Genomic DNA, 22233 nt, shown 5'->3' with positions numbered 1-22233 from the left:
TCAGTTTGAGACCAGCCTGGCCAACATGGTGAAACCCCATCTCTACTGAAAATAGAAAAATTAGCTGGGCGTGGTGGTGTGTGCCGGTCGTCCCAGCTACTTGGGAGGCTGAGGCAAGAGAATCACTTGAACCCGGTGCACGGTAGGTCGAGATCGTGCCACTGCACTCCAGCCTAGTGACAGACCAAGACTCTGTCTCAAAAAAAAAAAAAAATTATTTTTAGTAGAGATAGGACCTCACCATGTTGCCTAGGCTGTTCTCAATCTCATGGGCTCAAGCGATCTACCCACCTCAGCCTCCCAAAGTGCTGGGATTATAGGCATGAGCCACCATGCCTGGCTGAGAGAAATATCTTTGCACCTGTTTCACTAGTTTCATAGGGTGAAGTCCTACATATAAGCAAGTAAAAGGGTATGCACATTTTGAGGCTTTTTTTAAAACATTTTTTATAGAGACAGGGTCTCGCTTTGTTGAGGAGGCTGTTTTTGTTTGTTTGTTTGTTTGTTTTTTGAGATAGAGTCTGTCTCTGTCGCCCAGGCTGGAGTGCAGTGGCGCGATCTTGGCTCACTGCAACCTCTGTCTCCTGGGTTCAAGCGATTCTCCTGCCTCAGCCTCCTGAGTAGCTGGGACTACAGGTGCATGCCACCACACTCAGCTAATTTTTGTATTTTTAGTAGATACGGGGTTTCACCATGTTGGCCAGGATGGTCTCGATCTCTTGACCTCATGATCCGCCAGCCTTGGTCTCCCAAAATGCTGGGATTGCAGGCGTGAGCCACTGCACTTGGCCTCGGAGGCTGGTCTTGAACTCCTGGGCTCAAGCAATCCTCCCAAGCTCAGCCTCCCAAAGTGCTGGGATTACATGCATAAACGAGCATGCCCGGCCTTTAAGGCTTTTCGATACATACTACTCAACCAACTTCCAGGCTTTCTGGAACTTAAAGAAAACTCTATGGTATTGCCTACATTTCCAGGGTAGTTTATTTACTCTTCTCAGGACCTTTTTAAGGTATTATCAGAAATGTACAAAGTTTTCTACTTTTGAACCTATTTGTCTTTATCTTCAAGGGATAACATTTTGTGTTTGTTTTTAATGCCAACAAACACAAAATGGTTATGGTTAGTATAACCATTACCTTGTAAACTGACATTGAAAGCTACTGCTCTTATCTTAAGGAGGTCTATATTGATTTCTGGATTCCTTTCCTGGGTTACATGACTACTCTAAACCCAGATACATATATATATACATATATATATATGCATGTATATGTGTGTGTGTGTTATGTGTATGTAAAATAAATATATATTTTCTATATATGAAGGCCAGGTGGCTCACGTGGGCAATTCCAGCACTTTGGGAGGCCAAGGTGGATGGATCATCTGAGGCCAGGAGTTCAAGACCAGCCTGGCTAACATGGCAAAACCCCAACTCTACTAACACAAAAATTAGCTGGGTGTGGTGGCACACACCTTTAATCCCAGCTACTCAGGAAGCTGAGGCAGTAGAATCACTTGAAACCAGGAAGCAGAGGTTGCAGTGAGCTGATATCATGCCACTGCACTCTAGCCTGGGTAACAGAGCAAGAACCCCTCTCTCAAAATAAAGAGCAAAAGAGAGAGAGAGATCAATTTATCCCATACGCTCTCTCCCCTACTAATATGTATGACCTTATATTTATTCATAGATAATATTAAAATAGTTCCGACCCAAAAACTTCAATACTGAGCACAATTTAAATCCTTCTTAAACCAGGACAATAAAAGGCTAGATTTCCTAGTATACAGGTTGGGAGTTCAGATTTCTAATCAGCAAGTAGTTGGCAGCCAGGAAAGATTTAAGTTCATAAATGAGGACCATGTGCAGTGTGTTTTTTTCTTACCTTCTCCATCCAGCCCAAATTCAGCTCTTCAACTTTCTAGCAAACTTGAATAATGTTTTAGCTTTAATCACAACAAGTATGATCAACCATACCACATCTAATTTTTTACCAGTATCCATTAGTCTCAATTTTCACTATCGCTTATCTGTGAATACTATCAAGAGCTTTCCAAAAGCATCGAGTTTTTCCTGCCAAATCTCTATAATCTCTTTAACTGTCTGGGTCTGTTTACAGTATGTAAAAATTTTTAGCCATTTAATTTATAATTTTAATCTTATAGAAAAATCTCACAAAAAAGTATATTCCTGAGAAGCTCCACAGATGTGGACTACTTTAGGAAGAAGTAAAGGAGGGCCTTGGTTAAGAACAGATGAGATAAGGAAAGAAATACTATTCAAATAGAAGTAAAGGGGATGAAGATAAATAGGAGATAATGATTACGACAAATGGACTTTGAAGATAGCCATCTTGGCTTTAAATAGAGCCTCCACTACTGGCTGTGCAACTTTAGGCAAGTTATTTAACTTCTTTAAGCCACAATTTTCTTGTTAGTAAAATAAAAATTATGCTAGTGTGTATTGCATAGAGCTACTGCAATAATTAAAGGAAATATATAAGAAGCATTTGGTATTGCTGCCTGGAACATAGTCTGATAAAATGCTGCTGCTGCTGCTGCTGAAGTTTCTGTTGTTATTAAATGTGCCCTAGGGATCCTCCAAAAAGGGCTTCATCCACTGACCTTTATCTCAGAACTATGATTAGCCTGATATCAGTAGGTCTTTTCAGGCTAAGAACAGGTCAGAAGTTGGCTACTAAACCATCAATTAAAAAAATCAGTTGAGTTCTTCTCCTTTTTTAGCTTCTCAAGACCACCCTTATTTCAGGTTGGAACATGTCCACACAAGGCAGGGACATCCTCCACAATTCCTGTACCAGTCTACACTGGGCTCCATCAGAAGAGCTAAAATGGAACTAGCTAGTGTTCATTTGAGCAACCCAGGACCAAATTCAGGAGATAAAGTCCCCAGATAACATTCTGATGTGTAAACCATCTCCCCTATTTGGGTAGCTGAGACATTTTCTTGGTTGCACTATTAAGACTGAGGGCCACAGACAGGCATGGTGGCTCATGCCTATAATCCCACCACTTTGGAAGGCTGAGGCAGGTGGATAACCCGAACCCGAGGTCAGGAGTTCGAGACCAGCCTGACCAATATGGTGAAACCCCATCTCTATTAAAAATACAAAATTAGCCAGACGTAGTGACACATGCCTGTAATCCCAGCTACTTGGGAAGCTGAGGCAGGAGAATTGCTTGAACCCTGGAGGCAGAGTTTGCCATTTGCCATTGCATTCCAGCCTGGGCAACAAGGGCGAAACTCCATCTCAAAAAAAAAAAAAAAGACTACAGACCAGGCATGGTGGTTCATGCCTGTAATTCCAGCACTATGGGAGGCTGAGGTGGGAGGACCACCTGAGCCCAGGAGTTTGAGACCAGCGTGGGCAACAAAGTGAGATACCATCTCCACAAATAACAAACAAAAAACAAGAAAACAAGATTGAGAAAGAGGTTGCCATAATCTCTAGTAGTCTGTACAGTCTTCCTCTTCTTTTTTTTTTTTTTTTTTAGACAGAGTGTCGCTCTGTTACGCAGGCTGGAGTGCAGTAGGGCAATCTTGGCTCACTGCAAGCTCCGCCTCCTGGGTTCATGCCATTCTCCTGCCTCAGCCTCCAAGTAGCTGGGACTACAGGTGCCCGCCACCACGCCCGGCTAATTTTTGTTTTTTTTTTTTGTATTTTTAGTAGAGACGGGGGTTTCACCGTGGTCTCAATCTTCTGACCTCGTGATCCGCCCGCCTCGGCCTCCCAAAGTGCTGGGATTACAGGCGTGAGCCACCGCACCCGGCCTTCCCCTTCTTTTTAAGGTCTCACTCCACTGCCCAGGCTGGAGTGTAGTGGTTTGATCGCAGCAGCTCACTGCAGTCTCAACTTCCCGGGCTTAAGAGATCCTCCTACTGGCTGGGCAGTGGCTCATGCCTGTTATCTCAGCACTTTGGGAGGCTGAGGCGGGCAGATCACCTGAGTTCGGGAGTTCAAGACCAGCCTGACCAACATGGAAAAACCCCTGCTGGCCAAGCTCATTTCAAACTCCTGGCCTCAAGTGATCCACAGTGCCTGGCCTGATAACTTCTTTAGAGACTCTGCTATCCACACTCATTTTCAGAAAAATTAACCTGGAGACACCACATCCATAGACAATCAGGAGTAATTTTCCTTTGTAACACTTATCTCAGGCAAAAGAGCTATTTTTATAGTGTTTCCCTACCAGAATAAACTGGAAGTTTCATGAAGGAGGGTATTCCCTCTTTCACATCTCCTAAAGGTCTCCTTCAACACTCTATACCAGGGGTTAGTGCTGTGCCTGACCACAGGAAGTACTCCATAAATGTTTTTTGAGTATAATCAATGAACACTTTTGAAAATCTAATTAGGTTAACTTTTACTAGTCTCGCCACAAATGCAAGAAAATACACAAATACACCACAATTTTCCAGAAACTTGATGTTTCATCCCTTTTTATTATGCCCTTTGAACCACTGTCCCAGAACTTAATAGTTACTTCAGGATTTATGAAAAAAAATGTACTGAAGCCCTACTACTAATTAATAGGTACTGTGCTGCTAGGTACTACAGATATGACACGGTCAGGGTAGATACAGTTTCATCTAAACAATAACCATTCCTTATATAAAGGAAGATGGAAAGACAGGATTTTTTCCTCGACCTCTTTCGACACTGAGATGTACAAAGACAAGGCTGAGATTTCAACAACTGGTGGGTGGCAAGATCCACTTTAGAGAACAATGAGCTGCTATTTTCTTCAGATACTCTAAACAGATAAACTAATTATTTTAGTTTTCGCCATCCTTGTGAGTTAAATTATGTCATTTCCTGTTCTGTAGAGTAGCCTCTCCTAAAATATTGATTAAACAGCAAAGCATTTTCCTTCTGGATCCTCTTCTAGAAAGCAACAGGCAGAGATAACAACTTATAGGAAGAAAAGCTAAAAGAAAAGAAATTATTATCTTAAAGAAAAACATCACTATTCTGGAGATAAAAGACAAGAGCCACAGGTTGCCACATTACAGCTGTCTCTCTGTATGAAACATATGGGAAAGGTTAAAACTAGAGACAACTAATTAAAAAGCATATATGATGGGTCTAATAAATTTGAGAAGTATTTCGTTTCACTGAACTCAAGATTTTTGCTGTCTTTAACTCTGTTCCAATACTGTAATAATCATCATTCTACCGAGTATTCCTATAAAGCAGTGGTCCCCAACCTTTTTGGCACCAGGGCCCAGTTTCCTGGAAGACAATTTTTCCACAGACAGAGGGGGGTTGGCGGGACGGGGGATGGTTCAGGGCTATAACTGTTCCACCTCAGATCATCAGGCATTCATTAGATTCACATAAGGAACGCATGACTTAGGTCCCTCTCATGTGCAGTTCACAATAGGGTTCCCGCTCCTATGAGAATCTAATGCTGATCTGACAGGAGGCAGAGCTCAGGTGCTAATACTTTCTCAGCCACTGCTCACCTCCTGCTGTGCGACCAGGTTCCTAACAGGCCATGGACCAGTACCAGTCTGCAGCTATCAAGGCCACAGTAGAAAATGTTGCTGATACTCATTATCAGCTCAAGTTATTCTTTTTTTTTTTTTTTTGAGACCGAGTTTCACTCTTGTTGCCCAGGCTAGAGTGCAATGGCGCGATCTCGGCTCACCGCAACCTCTGCCTCCCGGGTTCAAGCAATTCTCCTGCCTCAGCCTCCCGAGTAGCTGGGACTACAGGTGCGTGCCACCACGCCCGGCTAATTTTTTGTATTTTTAGTAGAGACAGGGTTTCTCCATGTTGGTTAGGCTGGTCTCGAACTCCTGACCTCAGGTGATCCGCCCTCCTCAGCCTCCCAAAGTGCTGGGATTACAGGCATGAGCCACCGCACCCGGCCGGCAAGATCCCATTTCTACAAAAATAACAATTAGCCAGGTATGGTGTCACATGTCTGTGGTCCCTGCTACTCGGGAGGCTGAGGTGGGAAGATCACCTAAGCTTGGAAAGTGGAGGTGGCAATGAGCCATGATCATGCCACCGCACTCCAGTCTGAACGACAGAGGAAGACTCTGTCTCAAAAAACAAAACCAAACAAAAAAACAAAAAGTAAAAAATATATTTCAGAATCCTTTAGAATCAGTCTCCTTCTGTGAGTCACTGTTTATGGGACAAGAATTTTATTACGCAGAATGCTGAAGTAATAAAGTCATGCTTGAATCTGAGTTTGGATGGCATGAGGGCAAAAGTAAATGAGCATTAACTAAGGTTACTGAGTGCTCAATTAGGTGTCAACTAGCTAGCTACACTGGAAACTAGTCTAGAGATTAAGAGATGAAACTAATTTGTTACTATATTCAAAAGAAATACATAGGGACCTTTTCCAAAAAATGGATATCTTAACCCAGTAAAAACCATTAACAATTTACTACAGAATTTTAAAGAAACAAAGCAGAAATATACCTCAGATTCAAGTTATTAGCTAAAGACAACAGCAACAAATACATATATCCAAGGCTACCCTCAGCATAAGACCATTGTGAATTAGAGAAGCTACCTTCCTCGGGGCTAAACAAGTTTAAGGCACAGTGAATCAAGCTCAGGTTGGATTTTTTTTTTCCCCAGAGTCTCGCTCTGTCACCCAGGCTGGAGTGCAGTGACACGATCTTGGCTCGCTGCAACCACCACCTCTCAGGTTCAAGTGATTCTTGTGCCTCAGCCTCCCGAGTAGCTGGAATTACAGGCGTGCATCACCACGCCTGACTAATTTTTGTATTTTTAGTAGAGACAAGTTTTTGCCATGTTGGCCAGGATGGTCTCAAACTCCTGACCTCAAGTGATCCTCCCGCCTTGGCCTCCCAAAGTGCTGGGATTATAGGCATGAGCCACCACACCCGGCCCAGGATGGATTTTAACCCATCATTTCAAATACCTTAAGCAGGGCCCCCTCTTTTTTTTTTTCTTTTTTCTTAGAGAGTCTAGTTCCTTATTTATTTTTTATATTTTTAAAAATAGCAGGCAGGCGTGGTGGCTCATGCCTGTAATCCCAGCACTTTGGGAGGCTGAGACGGGTGGATCACGAGGTCAAGAGATCGAGACCATCCTGGCCAACATGGTGAAACCCCATCTCTACTAAAAATACAAAAATTAGCTGGGTGTGGTGGCATGCACCCATAGTCCCAGCTACTCGGGAGGCTGAGGCAGGAGAATCACTTGAACTTGGGAGGCAGAGGTTGCAGTGAGCCGAGCTTGCACCATTGCACTCCAGCCTGGACAAGAGTGAAACTCCGTCTCAAAAAAAGAAATAAAAATAAACATAAAGATGGGGCTGGGTGCAGTGGCTGACCAGGTGTGGTGGCTCATTCCTGTAATCCCAGCACTTTGAGAGGCTGGGTGGGTGGATTACTTGAGGTCACGAGTTCGAGACCAGCCTGGCTAACATGGCGAAACTCTGTCTCTACTAAAAATACAAAAATGAGCCAGGGATGGTGGCGCATAACTGTAATTCCAGCTTCTTGGGAGGCTGAGGTGGCAGTGAGTAGAGATCACGCCACTGGACTCCAGTCTGTCAGCCAGGTGACAGAGCAAGGCTCTGTCTCAAAAAATAAATAAATAAATAAAAATAAGTAGATAAATAAATAAATTAAAATACAGACTGGGTTTCGCCATGTTGCCCAGGCTGGTGTCAAACTCCTAGACTCAAACAATCCACCTGCCTCGGCCTCCCAAAGTGCCGAGTCAGAGATCCTAGTTCTGATCAGCAGGGAACCCTCTTAAAAGGCACAACCTGTACAACTGAGGGTTAGTTGCTCTACTTATACATTCCCCTCCTTTCTTTTTTAAAACCTCAATAAAATGAAACCAAATAAAAATAGGCATAAATCCTTGAGGACAAAGAGCAAGAGAGAAGAGAATAGCAGACAAGAGATGTGAAAACCATTTTGGGAACTGGAAAGCAGATGGATAAACGTTAACCTAGAGACCAAAAAAAGATGAAACCTAAGCTTATAAAATTGGTAGAGGTGGAAGTGAAGAAACTGTTAGCAAACATTCAAAACCCAGGAAAAGATCAGCAATTTGTGGCATCAGGTACTCTGAAAAGAGCGTAGGGTTCAAAACAGGAAGATCGCTCAAAGTCCTAAAAGATACAATCAGAGCTCTAGATCATCTCCACTACCCAAGGCAGCCTCCTCCCACCTCCCCTACATTCACGATTCTAGCAAAAGTCTGAACATTTACTCAGAATATGTTGGACAGGCTGGGTACTCACCCGCACCATGCACAACTAAGAACAGAGATGAAATGAAACACTCACAGCAACAGTCAAACACAAACCCCTTTTTGCTCCTCTGGGCTATGAGAAAGCAGGCAAAAGATGGGTTGATTCCTCTAAGGGAAAAATGACTTGCCTAAGACAAAAGACCTACAGATGCTGGAAGGTGGATGGTCCCTCATCAATGGTCAATCAACTCCTTCCTATAGTAAGGGCCACCAAATGACAAGCCCCACCAATGAAAACAGAGCTTCTAAAACAGGACTATCGTATCTCACTTTTATTTTTATTTTTAAATTTAATTTAATTTTTATTTTTTATTTTTTTGAGATGGACTCTTGCTCTGTCACCCAGGCAGGAGTGCAGTGGCGCAATCTTGGCTCACTGCAAGCTCTGCCTCCTGGGTTCACGCCATTCTCCTGCCTCCTGGCCAAGATGATGAAACCCCGTCTCTACTAAAAATACAAAAATTAGCTGGGTGTGGTGGCGGGTGCCTGTAATCCCAGCTACTCTGGAGGCTGACGCAGAGAATTACTTGAACCCGGGAGGCAGAGGTTGCAGTGAGTCGAGATCGCACCACTGCACTCAAGCCTGGGCAACAGAGCAAGACTCTTGTCTTGGCCCGGCGTGGTGGCTCATGCCTGTAATCCCAGCACTTTGGAAGGCCGAGGCAGGTGAATCACAAGGTCAGGAGATCGAGACTATCCTGGCTAACACGGTGAAACCCCGTCTCTACTAAAAATACAAAAAATTAGCCGGGCGTGATGGCGGGCGCCTGTAGTCCCAGCTACTCAGGAGGCTGAGGCAGGAGAATGGCATGAACCTGGGAGGCGGAGGTTGCAGTGACCCGAGATTACGCCACTGCACTCCATCCTGGGTGACAAAGCGAGACTCTGTCTCAAAAAAAAAAAAAAAAAAAAGACTCTGTCTCAAAAAAAAAAAAAAAGAAAAAAGAAAGAAAGAAAGAAAGAGTGAATGGATAGGGAAATGTAGGATTGCTTAAGGCTAATGATTGTGAACTTAATGTGAGAACAGGCAGAACAGTTTTTTCAGCCACATGTAGACACACAGATACAGGCATGAAGTAAGCAAAAAGTTGGACTGAGTTTTTGTCGGTGAGAAATTTAACAATGTAGCGAAGAAAGTAATTATAATGAATACAAGTTCAGTAGGGAAGTACTTGAAAAAGAGTGTAATGCTCAGTACAAACAGTGGTGATTCACAGTGTCAAAGGATTGACGGAGCAGAGATTCCAGAGGAAGGGTGTTGTGAAAGTAGAAATGAGTGATGGAAGAATAGCATGCTTGATACTGAAATAACAGAGGAGATGTAGCTCTAATTGACTAGATCTAGGGCAGGAGTCAGTAAACTCTGTAAAGGGTTAGACAATAAATACCTTAGGCTTTGAGAGTCAATGGTGTCTGTTGCAATTACTCAACTTGGCTGTTGTAGTATGAAAGAGGCTATAGACGATACATAAATGAAGGAGTAAGGCTATATTTAAACAAACTTTATTTACAAAAACAGCTTGGTCCTGGTGCACTGGTCTAGAGTACGACTATGGGAGTAGTAGCTGAGACAGGATAGAGGTCAAAAATCTTTGGGAGAGACATGGATAAGGAACTAAGAAATAAAGATGTTGGAAAGATAATTAATATGGACATAGAATTTACCAAGAATTAAGCCAGGAATAGTGTTGGAGAGGGTGACTCTGAGCCAGGAACTAAAAAAGCCTTTAAAGAATGAGGGAGGACACTGGCAAAATTGGCAGAGTAAAGGATCTTTGAAAATTCTCTTCTCCATAAAACAAAAATTGTCAAAATCAAGTTTTTCAGAATTCTGGAAATTAACACCAAAGGCTTACAACAATCTAAGAGCATTTATTCAAGCAAAACGCCTGAATATCAGTAAGAAACATTGAGCTTTGTTAGCACCTTAACTTGCCCTACTCCCATCTCCTGCTCTGAAAAATCAAAAGCCTGCAATCACAGTGAAAAAGCAGCAGCTTGACAATCACTAGATGGGGCAGAACAGGGTTGGCGTGCCTGTGAAGCTTCATTCCCAGGGAATTATCATTATTTGACCTTTCCGGTGGTTCCCTGGAAGGCCCCACTTGCAAGGTTATCTATATCTGACCAGACTCAGAGCTTACCCAGCATAAAAAGCCTTTTCCCTGGGAGGTAGGAGTATTTGTGAAAAATATAGGGAAGTGCTTAACTTTGTGGCTGCCTGACCAAAAAAACTTAAAAGGAAAAGCTGGGGAAGGACATGTTCACAGGGCTTTCCTGGAAATCTAGAAAGCCGTATGTTTTCTAGATTGTCTGAGAGTAGAAGAAAATCTTTAAAAAAAGCAAGCCACATGTATGCACAAGGACGTATACATGCCCAGGGCTGAGGCCACGCTCAGTAAAGTACTGAGAAGGCCCTAAACTCTCACCTCCGGTTGACCTTGAAGCTCTGCACAAGCAGAAAGTGAAGGCTAGGCCAGGATGGTGACATGCATATAGTCCCAGCTACTCAGGAGGAGGAAGCAGGAAGACAGCTTGAGGCCAGGAGTTCAAGGTCACAGTGTGCTATGAGTGTAACTGTGAATAGCCACTGAACCAGCCTGGGCAATATGGTGAGACCCCCGTCTCTAAAAAAATTTAAAAATAAAATTGTCTGGGCAACAGAGCGAGACTGTCTCAAAAAAAAAAAAAAAAAAAAAAAAAAAAGAAGACATTGAAGACTAGAAAACAGAGTTGTCAACTGCTGAGTATTTAATTCTATATCCAGCAAAACTATCCATTAAAAAACAAGGAAAAATTAAGATATTCCCAGATAAAAAAGAACTGAGAGGCTGGGCGTGGTGGCTCATGCCTGTCATCCTAGCACTTTGGGAGGCCACGGTGGGAGGATCACTTCAGGTCAGGAGTTCGAGACCAGCCTGGCCAACAAGGTGGAACCCCATCTCTACAAAAATTAGCTAGGCATGGTGGCGTATGCCTGTAGTCCCAGTTACTCGGGAGGCTGAGGCAGGAGAATCACTTCAACCCAGGAGGCAGAGGTTGCAGACTGCACCACTACACTCCAGCCTAGGCGACAGAACGAGACTCTGTCTCAAAAAAAAAAAAGAAAAGAAAAGAAAAGAAAAGAACTGAGAGAGTTCATTGCTAGTAGACCTGCCCTACAAGAAATACTAAAGGGAATCTTTAAGTGAAATGACAGGGCACTAGGCAATAACTTGAATCCACACAAAGAAAGAATGTTAGTAAAGCTAACTCCCCCATAGCTGTATTAAATGACAGCAGCAATAAGAAACTATTACCATAAACTCAGTGGCTTAAAACAATGCAAATTTATTATCATACAGTTCTGGAGTTCAAAAGTCTAAAATGGTTCTCTCTGAACTAAAATTAAGATGTCAGCAGGGCTGCATTTCATTGTGGAGGCTCTAGGAGATAATCCATTTTTCTTGCTTTTTCTAGGCTTTAGGAGGCTGTCTAAATTCCTTGGCTCATCCCCTCCCTCCATCTTCAAACTAAGTAGTATACCATTTTTAAATCTCTCTCTGACTCTGACTCTCTTGCCCTCTTCTTCCCTTACAAGAACCCTTGTGATTACATTGGAACCATTGGATAATCTAAGCTAATCCCCCCACCTCAAAATCCTTAATTTAATCACATCTATAAAATCTCTTTTGCCAGGTAAGGTAACATATTCACAGGTTCCAGGGAATAAGAAATAGATTTTTTTTGGAGGAGGCAGTATTCTGCCTACCTGCCATAGTAGGTAAATACAAAAGACTGTATAAATGTATTTTTTATTTATAACTTTTTTCTCATATCTGACTTAAAAGACAACTGCATAAAGCAATATTTATAATATGTGTTGATGGGTATACGTCATTTGTATGACAATAATAGCACAAAGGACAAAGAAGGGAACAGAGCTATACAAAAACACAAGTTTTTTTTTTTTGTTTGTTTGTTTTCCTGTGTCGCCCAGGCTGGAGTGCAGTAGCAAGATCACAGCTCACTGCGACCTCTGCCTCCTGGGCTTAAGTGATTCTCCTGCCTCACCCTCCCAAGTAGCTGGGACTACAGGCACCTACCACCACACCTAATTTTTTTTGTACTTTTAGTAGAGACAGGGTTTCACCATGTTGGCCAGGCTAGTATCGAACCCCTGACTTCAAATGATCCACCTGCCTAGGCCTCCCGCACCTGGGATTTCAGGTGTGAGCCAGTAGGTCTGGCTACTTTTTTTTTTTTTTTTTTTGAGACAGGGTCTTGCTCTATCACCCAGACTGTAGAGCAATGGAACAATCACAACTGACTGCAGCTTGACCTCCTGGGCTCAACTCATCCTCCCACCTCAGCCTCCCAAGTAGCTGAGACTATAGGCATGCATGTACCATCACTTCTTTGCATGTACCATCACTTCTTTTTGTTTTCTCTGTTCTAGCTAATTCTTAAATTTTTTGTAGAGATGGGTCTCCCTACACTATACACAATAGAACATATCTATTTAACACAAAAGAGGGCTGTGATGGAGGGAAAGAGGAACAAAAAAGACATAAAAAAATAGCAAAATGTAGATGCAAATCTTTTTTGTTTTATAATTTTTAATGAAAATTTTTTTAATTTTTAAAAAATCCAGATCCTGCACAATTTTGTTGTTTTTTCTGAGACAAGTTCTCTCTCTGTCACCCAGGCTGGAATATAGTGGCCCTATCAAAGCTCACTGCAGCCTCAACCTCTTGGGCTCAAGCAATCCACCCACCAATCAGCCTCTAGAGTAGCCAGGACTACACGCACATGCCACCATACCCATATAGTTTTTGTACTTTTTTGTACAGATGGGATTTCGCCATGTTGCTGAGGCTGGTCTTAAACTCCTGAGCTCACGCAATCCATGCGCCTTGGCCTCCCAAAGTGCTAGAATTACAGGCCTGAGCCACCATGTCTGGTCATAATTTTTTGTTTGTTTGTTTTTTGAGACAGAGTCTTGTTCCGTCGCCCAGGCTAGAGTGCAATGGCACGATCTCAGCTACTGCAACCTCCACCTCCCGGGTTCAAGCTATTCTCCTGCCTCAGCCTCCTGAGTAGCTGGGACTACAGGTGCACGCCACCACACATGGCTGATTTTTGTATTTTTAGTAGAGACGGGGATTCACCATGTTGGTCAGGCTGATCTCGAACTCCTGGCCTTGTGATCCGCCCACCTCAGCCTCCCAAGGTGCTGGGATTACAGTCGTGAGCAACTGTGCCCGGCTCATAAACCTTATTAAATAATTAATTTTCCTGTAAATGAATCATTCCAAGTAAAGAATGAGAGGGAGCAACTCCAAAATCTATAAGATAACTAAAATAGACTAATGACAAGACTTAGGACTGCAGTGAAGCAAGATCATTCAGTAATGTTCACAACCTTTTTTGATATAAAAAAAAAACCTTGGCTGGGCGCAGTGGGCTGAGATCATGCCATTGCACTCCAGGCTGGGCGACAGTGCAAGACTGTCTCAAAAAAATAAAAAAATAAATAAATAAATCTTAAACTTTTATTTAGTAAAAATCTATCAATCTTTTCCTTTATGTTTTTTTCCCTATGCAGTCACACTTACAAAGTCATTCATATCCTAACAAGCAGATAAAAAATAATTATCTATATTTTATTTTTTCTGTTTTCTTGCAGGGAAGGGGGGTGGGTTTCACTATGTTGCCCAGGCTAGTCTTGAACTCCTGGCCTCAAGCAATCCTCCCACCTTGACCTCCTAAAGTGTTGGGTTACAGGCATAAGCCACTGCACTAAGCCTGCTTTCTTTTTTTGAGACGGAGTTTCGCTCTTGTTGCCCAGGCTGGAGTGCAGTGGTGCGATCTCTGCTCACTGAAACCTCTGACTCCTGGGTTCAAGCGATTCTCCTGCCTCAGCCTCCCAAGTAGCGGGGATTACAGGCATGTGTCCCCATACCCGACCTTGTTTTCTTTATATATATACACATATATATGTATATATTTATATGTGTATATATACACATATATATGTATATATTTATATGTGTATATATACACATATATATGTATATATTTATATGTGTATATATACACATATATATGTATATATTTATATGTGTATATATATACATATATATGTATATATTTATATGTGTATATATATACATATATATGTATATATTTATATGTGTATATATATACATATATATGTATATATTTATATGTGTATATATATACATATATGTGTATATATTTATATGTGTATATATATACATATATGTGTATATATTTATATGTGTATATATATACATATATGTGTATATATATACATATATATGTATATATTTGTGTGTATATATATACATATATGTATATATTTGTGTGTATATATATACATATATGTATATATTTGTGTGTATATATATACATATATATGTATGTATTTGTGTGTATATATATACATATATATGTATTTGTGTGTATATATACACATATATGTATATATTGTGTGTATATATACACATATGTATATATTTGTGTGTATATATACACATATATGTATATATTTGTGTGTATATATACATATATGTATATATTTGTGTATATATACATATATGTATATATTTATGTGTATATATACATATATATATTTATGTGTATACATACATATATATATTTATGTGTATACATACATATATATATTTATGTGTATATATACATATATGTATATATTTATATGTATATATACACATATATGTATATATACATATATATGTATATATTTATATGTGTATATATATGATTCTTAAAATGGGCCTTCAGTTCATTCTTTTTTTTTTTTTTTTTTTTTTGAGATGGAGTCTCGCTCTGTCTCCCAGGCTGGAGTGCAGTAGCATGATCTCAGCTCACTGCAACCTCCACCTCCCAGGCTGGTCTCGAACTCCTGACCTCGAGTGATCCATTCGCTTCAGTCTCCCAAAGTGCTGGGATTACAGGCTTGAGCCACCACGCCTGGCTCCATCCACTATTTTGAGGATTCCTTTAACCTTTCTTGTTTATTGAATTTCATCTTTCCTCTATCACATCTTCCTTTTCGTAGAAACATCCAGTAGCTTTCTAGAATAGGGCATGGAAGTTAGATTTTTTAAAGATATTGCAAGTTTATTTTAGCCCCCATTCTGGGATATAATTTATAGCAGTGACGTGTGTTGACTTTTTTTTTTTCTAGAACAAAATTCTGATAAAAAATTCTGAATTGACATCATAACTAAGAAGCACATGACTAGAGAAATCTGTATCAGAATTTATAATATATTTAAGCTAGCCTAAAGTCAGTATTAATGTTTAAAGAAAGCCTCATGAAACTGGCAGCAAGTAGACACTGAATAAAAGATTATTATTAATAACAACAACCACATTTATACCTGTAAGTTATAATATAAACTAAGTAGATAAATTTGACCTAAAAGAAGGCAAACCAGGGGTTTTGGTTTCTCAAGGTGCCTAATCCTGATTAGCCCCCATTTTTATTAATTTTTCAAGTATATCAAGTAATTATTATTATTATTATTTGAGACTGAGTCTCGCTCTGTCGCCCAGGCTGGAGTGCAGCGGCGCGATCTCGGCTCACTGCAAGCTCCGCCTCCCAGGTTCGTGCCATTCTCCTGCCTCAGCCTCCCAAGTAGCTGGGACTACAGGTGCCCGCCACCGCGCCTGACTAATTTTTTGTATTTTTAGAAGAGACGGGGTTTCACTGCGTTAGCCAGGATGGTCTTGATTTCCTGACCCCGTGATCCACCTGCCTCGGCCTCCCAAAGTGCTGGGATTACAGGCGTGAGCCACCTTGCCCGGCCAAGTATATCAAGTAATTATTTATATTTTCTCAGATAAAACCAGCTTGCTTGGTTAGAATGTAGATTAAGTTCCAAATTTTGGCAAAATTCAAGTGGCTATCTTTAAGTTTACCTTGCTTAAATTTCATAACCTTTTTGTAAATATACAAATACTACCTGGGATCCCATTAATTTATATAATTAATAGTACACAAAACCAAAACCATGAATAAGAAAAGAGAATTCGGTATTAAGAGAAAATAAATACGTTGACCTCCCTAAGAAAACAGAAGTTCCTCCATGGTTGTTATTCCCATCCTGTGTCCAAAAGATTATTATTGCCAGAAATTCTGTATGTGCAAAAAAATCCTACTGATTATAGATAACCTCTGGTTTTCCCCTCTTCTTCCTTTTTTTTTTTTGAAATGGAGTTCTTGTTGCCCAGGCTGGAGTGCAATGGTGCGATCTAGGCTCACTGCAACCTCCGCCTCCCAGGTTCAAGTGATTTTCCTGCCTCAGCCTCCTGAGTAGCTGGGAATACAGGCATGTGCCACCACACCCAGATAATTTTGTATTTTTAGTAGAGACGGGGTTTCTCCATGTTGGTTAGGCTGGTCTTGAACTCCAGATGTCAGGTAATCCACCCGCCTCAGCCATATCCAGATTCTTGTCTTCCACAGAAACCCCGGGATTTGGTTTTGACTCTTTCACACTTTGAGGCTGTTTCCTTCTTGTTCTTAGTTAAAAATGAAAAGCACTTTCCACATCACCAACAAAAGCAATTCAGCAGGATTCATTTCTATATACTGTGCTGCCACATACAAGCCCCATTAATGAACAGCATAAGGGACTAGGGCATGGCTTGGTAAAATGAATAGTGCTTCAGGAGGAGTCCAACTCTGCAAGCTGCTGCTTTTAGAAAAATGCATTTAACTACAGCCACAGGTCCCTCCCTCCTCTTGCTTCAAAATCAGATGTTCACCCATCCCTAGCAGTAAGATAAAGACCTTAGAAAGAGAGTTCTGACAGCAAACCACAGAGGCTGCAGACACATTTCGTTTTAATTCCATCAGCAACTGCTAAGCAATTAATGAAATAGAGAGGAGGGAGGGGGCATCAGGGCAAAGAGAAAAGGGACTTGAGCAATCATGTGGAAATACTTCATCCTCATCCCAATGAGAGCAGGTTATCTGGGGCAGCTGTACAAAGCTTCAAATCCTTGAATTTGAACTCCCAGGCCACTTCCCAAGCAGCAATAAAGATATGTAGTCCAGATTTTGTCTTGCTTACAGTTTTATATCTCTCATATACTTGCCTGTAGCCACCAACAAAGGGAAGAAAGAGTGAAAGACAACAGATCAAGTGAGTGATTCAGCTATTAAGTCCCTTGGGCAGATTCTATGCTTTGCATAATATGGACTATGAGGATCAGGAGATACTAAATACTAACAGCAGTGATTCATCAGAAGCATGTATGTACTAGGCCTAGGGCATGGTGGGACAGGAACTCCATCAATAAACCCCTGCAGGTTCCTTCTTTACCAAGCTGTATCCTTAACCTATCACAGAAAAGGCAATAAAACAAAAAACTACTGACAAAAACTTCTCAGAGAGAAAGTAAATTCTCAAATGGGGTGTGGGTGCCAAAAAAAAAAAAAAAAAAAAAAAAATCCAGCATGAAAGAGAAATAAAAGCTCAAAAAAGGCTAATGCAGTGCCACAATTCCAGCTGTTAGCCCCTCAGTGAACAGGGGCCCCTAAATCATAACATGAGAGAAGGCTGGTAGTTTTTTAGCAGGGGCAAGAGCGGGGTGTGGTGAGAGCAGGAATTGATGAAAAATGTGATGGTCTCTACTAATTCATACAGCAAGTTCCTAAACAGAATAATGTTCAAGTGGCCTCATTTTCCCCTTCATTCACCACTCAATCACAAGGACCTGAGGTCCTGGGTTTTCTGCAATAACCCTGATTAAAAACTCCATCCAACTGTGTTTGGATTTGGGGTTGCAAGGAAAAAAATGAATATTTTACATATAGTTCATCCCAAACTCCCTTGCACAGAGTTTGAAAGAACATGGTAAACCCACATATGCAGGCAAAGTAAAATGCCAAATAGACAAGGGTGAAATAGGCAGGAGATGGATCCCTGAAGGTCCAAAAGTATTGAAAGTTGGCCTGCTAGCCAGGCACAGCGGCTGACGCCTGTAATCCCAGCATTTTGGGAGGCCGAGGTGGGCGGATCACGAGGTCAGGAGATCAAGACCATCCTCAACAAGGTGAAACCCCATCTCTACTAAAAATACAAAAAAAAAAAAATTAAATTAGCCAGACATGGTGGCGGGTGTCTGTAGTCCCAGCTACTCGGGAGGCTGAGGCAGGAGAATGGTATGAACCCGGCAGGCGGAGCTTGCAGTGAGCCAAGATTGCGCCACTGCACTCCAGCCTGGGCGACAGAGCAAGACTCCGTCTCAAAAAAAAAAAAAAAAAAAAAAAAAAGAAAGTTGGGCCACTAACTCTACTGCAGAATTACTTGCACTGCTTTTTGAAAATACAGATTATGATTTAATGGAAAGTATTCCATGGGACTTGTCAGTTGACTGCTATTTAGGAAAAAAAAAAAAAAGATCAAACTCCTTAGAAGTCTTACTTGACCTGGTTTCTGCTTACTTTCTCATCTCATAATCACTCTTCTTCACTCTAAACTATTCCATCATTCTACAAATATTTATTCATGTCTGCTACACGTTGGCACTGTTCTAGGTACTATGAATGCATCCTAGGACTGCCATGTAATGGTTGCTCAATTATGTCTTGTATAATTGGCTGAGGAGGCAAGAGGAGGCCAAAATCTAGGTCCATGCTTTTCTAGCCGAACTACGTGTCCCGCGTGGAGCCACAACCTTTTGGAAAGGAGACTTTCTTTTCTTTTCTTTTTTTTCTCAAGACGGAGTTTTGCTCTTGTTGTCCAGGCTGGAGTGCAATGGCACCATCTTGGCTCACCACAACTTCCGCCTCCCGGTTTCAAGCAATTCTCCTGCCTCAGCTTCCTGAGTAGCTGGGATTACAGGTATGCAGGCATGTGCCACCATGCCCGGCTAATTTTGTATTTTTAGTGGAGATGGTGGTTTCTCCATGTTGGTCAGGCTGGTCTCAAACTCCCGACCTCAGGTGAACTGCCTGCCTTGGCCTCCCAAAGTGCTGGGGTTACAGGTGTGAGCCACCGTGCCTGGCATTCTTTTCTAATTTACTGGAAAAAGTCCCATGGGCTAAGGGAGGACCTGGCAATAACAATGAACAAATCAGACAAACATCCCTGTCCTCAGGAAGCTTATATCCCATTGTGGGAGAGACAACCAAAATAAATTATATACTATGTGGGACAATAATAAGTGTTATGGAGAAAATAAAACAGGGATCAATCTCCCTGGCTCAAGTGATCCTCCCACCTCAGCCTCCCAAGTACCTGGGACTACAGGCACATGCCACCATGCCCAGCGAATTTATTTTTTGTAAAGAATGAGGTCTCACAATGGGGCCCAGGCTGGTCTTGAACTTTCAGACTCAAACGATCTGCCTACTTCGGCTTCCCAAAGTGTTGGAATTAGTCATCAGCTACCACACCTGGCCAGTTTTAAATACAGTATTCAGGGAAGAACTCACTCAGAAGGTGACATTTTTGTTTACAGAACCATGTCAAACCCATTTCCCCTCAGGCCTTTGCACTTGCTGTACTTTGCCTAAAGTTCCTCTTTCCCTTTCTCAACTTTTGCATACCTAGCTTTTTATCTTTCAGTATCAGCCTAAATGTCACTTCCTTAAGGGCAACTTTCCAGCAACACTAAGTAGAATAGCTATCTATATCCCTAGGCAGTCCTAACCAAACAAAGACTCAAGGCCGGGCTCACACCTGTAATACCAGCACTTTGTGAGATCACTTGAGGTCAGGAGTTTGAGACCAGCCTGACCAACATGGCGAAATCTTGTCTCTACTAAAAAAATACAAAAATTATCCAGGCGTGGTGGTGGGCACCTGTAACCCCACCTACTTGGGAGGCTGAGGCAGGAGAACTGCTTGAACCCAGGAGGCAGAGGCTGCAGTGAGTGAAGATCTCACCACTGCCCTCCAGCCTGGGCGATCCTGGGTGACAGAGTGAGACTGACTGAAAAAAAAGACTCAACTACATAAAACTAGAGAGTTTGAATCCTGTTCTACTATTTCCTGGCTTAACCTCTGGCATCCAGTTTACCCATATGTAAAATGGATAATAATAGTACTTAACTTATACGGTTGCTGTGAAGAATAATTACAATCACCACCCAAAAGGATAACAATAAAAATTAAAAAATAAAAATATATTATATAAAAATATAAAAGTACAATAAAAATAGCAGCTGTTTATATAACTTTTTACCATGCACCAGGCATTATTCTATGTATTCTACATTTATTAACCCATTTAATCTATTCATATAATACATTTAAAGTGCCAGCACTATATTTAGCAAACAGTAAATAAATGTTTGCTCTCTTTCTTATTATCACCATGATCAGTGGCAGTATTATTAGCTCTTCTTATGAGGTGCCTAAGCCCTCTGTGTTTCTGCTCTGCTGAGGGATCTATACCCAAAAGTTTCATATCTTCCCCTCTAGAATTCCTATTTTCCCCTCTTGGATAAACACCCTACAGAAGGAATTTGTTATCAACCTTAGCACTTACTCTGTGCAAATCATCTCTTACGTCTAGCATCAGCATGGACTTTTAAAAAGAAAAAGATATGACTGTCCATATAGATCATATGCTTTATTTATGTATTTAGAGACAGAGTCTCGCTCTGTTGCCCCGGCTGGAGTGCAGTGGCATGATCCCGGCTCACTGCAACTTCCGCCTCCCAGGTTCAAGTGATTCTCCTGCCTCAGCCTCCCGAGTAGCTGGGACTACAGGTGCGTGCCACCACACCTGGCTAATTTTTGTATTTTTAGTAGAGACGAGGTTTTGCTATGTTGGCCAGGCTCGTCTCGAACTCCTGACCTCAGGTGATCCACCTGCCTCGGCTTCCCAAAGTGCTGGGATAACAGGTGTGAGCCACTGCGCCTGGCCAAAACTAAGCTAATTTTACTAATCCAAAAAAACATAACATGAAAATAATAGGAGTGAACTCATCGTGATAATATTAGTATCTCGAGTTTCTAGAATTAAACACAATGCTCCTTTTGAATCTCTCACTAAAGACAAACTAGAATCCATATACTTGACCATAATCATCAAAATATAATTAGAAGGCTTAAAGAAACAAAGAAGTCCAGAACCTTGGTTCCACTTTCCAGACTCATCTACTAATATACATGAACAATTGATGATGCTACTCTTCCTTAAGAATCTTGATTGATTAGAACATGGCTTCTAAGCAAGGCCACCAGGAACTGTTTTCCTGGTATCTATTGCTTTGAGAAACATATTTATGCTTAACCATCTCAAATGCCTTTTATAAAAGTATTTAAATGATAAAGATGAGAAGAGAAAAAGATATAATGAGAGGTAGTATAGTTATAACTGTGGAAGATATAAGTCAGATTACCTGGATTTTAATCCTGGCTCCACAAACCACCAACCAGGCCACGTTTCTTAGCTTGCTAAAACTCACTATGCTCATGTATAAAGTGGGAATAAGAGAGCTCTCGGCCAGTCAGGCACAGTGGCTCACGCCTGTAATCTCAACACTTTGGGAAGTTAAGGCAGGGGGATCACTTGAGCACAGGAGTTTGAGACAAGCCTGGGCAATATAGCGAGACCCCTATCTCTATTTTAAAAAGTAAGAAAGAAAGAGTTCCTATCTCATAGAGATATTGTAAGATGTGATCTAGGCAATTCCGTTCTTGGCACACAGTGCAAGAGCAATAAATTAAAGCTTAAAAAAATACACCAGAAAGAAAAAGAAAAGTCAAGAACATTCTGTGGGCATTTATTGCATTTGCTTTTTAACTCAGAAAAGACACTACAGAAAAAAACTTAACTAGCTGTCTAACACTGCTTCCATCTTGGCTCTCAATGATACACACAAAAGGATGGTTTATCAATGCATTCTGTTTCTCCAGCATAAACCCAAAGGTTGAACAACAAATTTCTGTTCAGAAGGAG

At 41.3% G+C, this 22233-nt stretch overlaps 1 protein-coding gene and 1 long non-coding RNA gene across 6 annotated transcripts in view, besides 2 other annotated features; one reads left to right on the top strand and one right to left on the bottom strand.

Annotated features, from left to right (window-relative positions):
* ZNF609 (zinc finger protein 609) overlaps nucleotides 1-22233 on the bottom strand; it is a 226491-nt gene that overhangs the window by 94130 nt on the left and 110128 nt on the right. The window lies entirely within an intron of this gene.
* The window catches only part of LOC101930091 (uncharacterized), a 92612-nt gene that overhangs the window by 42774 nt on the left and 27605 nt on the right, over nucleotides 1-22233 (top strand). The gene's annotated exons all lie outside the window — the stretch shown is intronic.
* Nucleotides 19574-19673: an enhancer, noted in NCBI's record as "active region_9573". NCBI's record gives its function as "activates an Ori minimal core promoter by ATAC-STARR-seq in GM12878 lymphoblastoid cells {active_cell/tissue: GM12878}" and the evidence as "EXISTENCE:reporter gene assay evidence [ECO:0000049][PMID:35858748]".
* Nucleotides 19704-19773: an enhancer, noted in NCBI's record as "active region_9572". NCBI's record gives its function as "activates an Ori minimal core promoter by ATAC-STARR-seq in GM12878 lymphoblastoid cells {active_cell/tissue: GM12878}" and the evidence as "EXISTENCE:reporter gene assay evidence [ECO:0000049][PMID:35858748]".

This window comes from Homo sapiens, chromosome 15 (assembly GCF_000001405.40).
Source record: "Homo sapiens chromosome 15, GRCh38.p14 Primary Assembly".
In the NCBI taxonomy this organism is placed as follows: Eukaryota; Metazoa; Chordata; class Mammalia; order Primates; family Hominidae; genus Homo; species Homo sapiens.
The sequence above is the reverse complement of the archived record's forward strand: the minus strand, read 5'-3'. Positions and strand labels throughout refer to the sequence as shown.